The following is a 4960-nucleotide window of genomic DNA, read 5'->3' as shown; positions in this document are numbered from 1 at the left end:
TATCCACGCACACAGTGGGAGCTCTATCCACGCACACAGTGGGAGCTCATATCCACGCACACAGTGGGAGCTCTATCCACGCACACAGTGGGAGCTCTATCCTCGCACACAGTGGGAGCTCTGTCCACGCACACAGTGGGAGCTCTGTCCACGCACACAGTGGGAGCTCATATCCATGCACACAGTGGGAGCTCTATCCATGCACACAATGGGAGCTCAGTGGAACACGCCAGATGGTCAGTGGAGCTGAGTCTTGACTGGGAAAACTCAAGCACTTTAGAAAAAAACACAGTAGAAGAAGTCTATGTGACTTCAGAGCAACACAGTAGTCTCATGTCTATAAAAGGAATAAATATAGTGAACATTTAGAAGAAATTATGGTTATCTTATTTACTGAAAAGGGGTCTTACAAAAATAGATGGAATGTTTAAAATTAGCACTAAATAAGAAGAATTTGCTAATTACCAATATGAAATATTAAATGGTCTGAAGGAACAATAGGAAGGAAATGGCAGAGCAGAAATCACATTAATGTCCCAAGGAGACCCATTAATAGAATTGTACTTTGCTATTGGAAATGGATCACTAATTAAGAATAGACTATCAGTGGTGCAAGTAGCTTTGTGCACAGAGACTTAAGGCAGAAGTCGTGAAATTGGATGTGCATGAAGAAACCAGCTGCATGACCCAGGTTGTGAGGCAACTTTTCCATGCCTTTCCCAAAAAAAAAAAATAATAATAATAATAATAATAATAATAATGATCTTGCCTAAATCTCAGGTACAGGGAAAAAAATGTCAATTTATCCATAAAGTTAAATGGTATTAACAATGAATCAAAAAGTAATAAAGGATGTGGAATCAATAAAACAAAATTTAAAACTGTGTTGATGAAGGTACGCTCATTTAATGCACACTGGTTGCTCTATAAAGTAGTATACAACTTTTGAAAAGAAGTTCTGTAGTTCTAGCTGTCAATTTACAGAAAATGTCTGTACACTTTGACCCACTATTTCCAATAAGTTATAAGGAAATAAATAATCTGTAACTCTAGGTTTTTCTTTCATAGAGAAGTCTTGCACCTTCTATTAACACTCTGATTTATCACCCACCGGGGGGCTGGTGGTGGGTGCAGCCCACTCAAGATGCAAGTAGTAAGGGGTGTGTCTCTGTCAATCATTTAAAAACAATAATAAAAAGCTGGGATTCTTTGCTTTACATACTAGAATTTTTAAACAATGCCAGGAAACAAGTATTGCTTCCTAAAAAGGCCTTTTGTTAGCATAAGTTCAAAATAACTGTCGAGGTTACTACTGAGTTTTAAAATATATGTAAAATTCAAATTCACATATTGTAACATGCAGTTTTTTTTTTTTTTTGAGACAAAGTCTCACTCTGTCCCAGATACATGGGGAGGTGAGAGAGCAGGACAGAGGGTCACCTGAGTCCAGAAGTCAAAGCTGCAGTGAGCCATGATTGTGTTACTGCACTCTAGCCTGGGTGACAGTGTGAGACCCTGTCTCAGAAAAAAAAGAAAAAGAAAGGAAGGAAGAAGGAAGGAAGGAAGGAGCAGGAGAGAGAGAAAGAAAGAAGAAAGAAAGAAAGAAAGAAAGAAAGAAGAAAGAGAAAGAGAAAGAAGAAGAAAGAAAGAAAGAAAGAGAAAGAAAGAAAGGAAGGAAGTAAGGAAAGGAAGGAAAGGAAGGAGAGGAAGGAAAGGAAGAAAGGAATAAAGAAAAAAGGAAAAAGAAAGAGAAAGAAAGAAAGAAAAAGAAAGAAAGAGAAAAAGAAAGAAGAAAGAAAGAAAGAGAGAAAGGAAGGAAGGAAGGGATTAAAAATGGTCAAATATATGAACTGCTAGGTGTAACACTTTTGTTTGGAAAGTGCAAATTGAAGTCATGCAATAACATTTGAATAAAGTTTACTGAATTTCAGTGTCTTCAAAATTGAAATGTATCACTTTCCAAGTATTAGTTGTTGCTTTACAAATAATTTCAAGAAAATCATCATCATCACTGAGCTTTTCATAAGTATCAACTGAAAATGGCCTTTGATGTAGAGCAGGGTGCAGAAAGGTGAGTGGCCATGGGTGCCAAGCACTGCAGGAATCCCATATGGGCCCAGGAGAGAGGGGCCCAGCTTCTGCAGCAGACCAGCCAACTCTGCTGCTGGAACTCTGAAGGAACAAAGGGGAGTTAAGAGGTCGTTGGAAAAGAGACAGAACGTAAATGGTAAAGCCACGCTGTGCTTTTGTTTTTAAGGAAATCTTGAGCATGAAACAGGAAAGATGAGAGAAGTGAACCTAGTCCAAGAACGATTGTTTGTGCCTTTAGAAAGGAAGCAAGGATGCAGCGAAGGAGGAAGGGAATATGTGGTTGTGGACCCACAAACAACAAACAAACAAACCACCAACACACTTGCAAAATCGTGAATGACTCTTGGTATCAATATAACCACAAGATAATTTTTAGAAAACAAAATCAGATGTTAAGCATTCCTTTAAGAAGGCCAAGGAAAGAATAATTGCCAATTTATCTGTGGAGCAAGAAAACATGGTAAATTTAAAATAGTAAATTAAGAATGACATTCTTCAAAAAGTGTATACTTTTAATTTGCTACTGATACATGATAATACTACAGTAACAAATAACAACAATTATTAAACAATTAACTATTGCTAAATGCTTCTGCAGTCCCTCCTTTGAGGGGCCAAGGTGGTAAGATCACTTGAGGCCAGGAGTTCAAGACCTTATCTCTACCAAGAAAAAAAAGATAGAATTAAACTATATACAAAAGTACAGATGAAATAACGTGATGTCTGGAGTGGGTACAATTGTGTTCCCCAAAAAGATATATTGAAGACCTACCTCCGTTACCTGTGAATGTGAATGTATTTAGAAATAGGCTTTGCAGGTGTAATAAAGTTCAGATGAGGTCCTCTGGGTCAGGGTGGGCCTTAATTCCAGCATGACTCTCCAGTTGTATGTGATAAAAACAGGGAATTTGGACTCAGGTGCAGGGGATGCAGGGAGCCCCACTGTGTGGAGGCTGAGGTGGGGACTGGAGGGCATGTCTACAAGTTGGGGAGCTCCGAGGATGGCTGGCAGCCACTAGGAGCTGGGCAGGGCCTGGAACAGGTTCTCACTCAAAGCCTGTGGAAGGAACCAACCCTGCCAACACCTTGATCTCAGACTTCAGGCCACCAGCACTGAGGGGGAATGAATTTCTGTTGTTTTAGCCACCTCGTCTGCGGGGATTCCTCATGCAGACCTAGGAGATTGATAGAATGCCTGACATTTCTTCTCTAGTAAATGAACGGAGAATTACGGGTGAAGCTGGAGGAGCTATGGATCCATAGCTGTAAAAACGGGGTGACGGGTTCCAGGGAATAGTGTGTGCAACTTATCATTTCATGTTTTCTAATATAAGCAAATAAGCATGTATATTTCTTATTTTCATGGACAAATGTTTCCAATACTTTACATGCTTTTCTTCACCTTGCTTTTTCCCTTAACATATGCTAGAGATATTTCTCACTCATTTTTGTAACTGCATATTTTTATGTTGTGTGAAAATGCCATATCGCTTCCTCTTCAATCTCACACCCAGGACAGAGCCTGGGACAGCCGGGCTGTTTTCTAGCTTGCTTACTTGCAATTCTATTGCAAATTGAGCCCCATACGTCTTCTAGTATTTGTGCTCAGAAGGCTAAATCCCTGGAGGTAGGATTGCTTTTTCTAGAGAAAAATGATATAATATTTCGCCAGATATTGCAAAACTTCCCACTCACACCAGTTTAGCATTTTGCATTCCCACCAGCTTGTAAAAGAACGCCCTGTCTTATAGTCAACAGAAGAGGCTACTTTTTTAAAGAAATGCTTTTATTTTAGTTTAGTTTTAATTGGTGTTTTTCTTGTAATGAATGAAGTTCAGTATTTTTAAAAAAGCATTTCTTTATCTATGAACAGTCTGTTCATATACTTAATGTATTTTTATATGCTTATTGGTCTTTCTGTTCTGTGGTTTTAGAAGTTCTTAATGTAGATGGACTGCCAACCCTTCGTGTGTGATATAACTTGTCAGTCAATATTTTCCATTTATCATTAGCTTATGCTTTTTACCATGTAGATATTTTTCCATATAATGAAACCTACCACATTTCCTCTATTGCCTCTGGATTTTGAGTCATGGGGAATAAAATAATAGATATATGTTTCTGTATAGGGGTTCATCTCCTGCATTTCAATATGATCCATTTGGAAATTATCTTAGGATACACTGTGAGGAATGGATCCAGTTTTATCTTTTCACTAAACACCGTTCCTTATACTCACATGGGAAGGGGCTAGGATTCTCCACGTTCTGAAGAGCTTCTATGCACAGTCTGGTGAGTCCAAGTGTGGCACATGAACATCTCCTGGAGGCTGGCTGGATGTGCAGAACCTCAGAGCCCACCCAGACCTGCTGAACCAGAGTCCAAATGTTAACAAAATACTCAGGAGGTTCCTACATTCGAGAAGATTCAAGTTCGAGAAGGACTAATATTCAAAAGGTAGTTTTTCTTTTGGCTTTCTCCCCAAAATAATAGGCAGATTAAAAAATGAATACTGCCTTCCATTAGCCTCGCCATACTAATACAACACATTTACACCTTTTAAATTAGGGACCTCATGTATTGCATGATGATCGGGTCTTAATGTTTGTATGAAAATCATGGAAGGTGATAAAGATGCCCCTCAGCCTAAGGCTTAGCAAACCCAACAATGACTCCCCTCTCGAATGTGACTTAGACTTGTTTATACCATAATTACTCATTTTTGTTTAAGTTGCCATTTTTGAACTTTATAAACACACTATATTTTATATAGTCTTAAGTGATAACGTTTCACTCAATATTATGTTTCTAACATTTATCCAAGTCATGAATAACTATACTCCATTCTTTTTCACTAATGCATACTACT

The 4960-nt window shown here is 38.5% G+C and overlaps 1 annotated feature.

Moving 5' to 3' along the window:
- Window positions 459-628: an enhancer, noted in NCBI's record as "experimental_58516 CRE fragment used in MPRA reporter constructs". NCBI's record gives its function as "activates a minimal promoter by MPRAs in K562 erythroleukemia cells, with activity observed for the introgressed 2:435991 variant allele {active_cell/tissue: K562}" and the evidence as "EXISTENCE:reporter gene assay evidence [ECO:0000049][PMID:34662402]".

Source organism: Homo sapiens, chromosome 2, assembly GCF_000001405.40.
Source record: "Homo sapiens chromosome 2, GRCh38.p14 Primary Assembly".
Classification (NCBI taxonomy): Eukaryota; Metazoa; Chordata; class Mammalia; order Primates; family Hominidae; genus Homo; species Homo sapiens.
The sequence above is the reverse complement of the archived record's forward strand: the minus strand, read 5'-3'. Positions and strand labels throughout refer to the sequence as shown.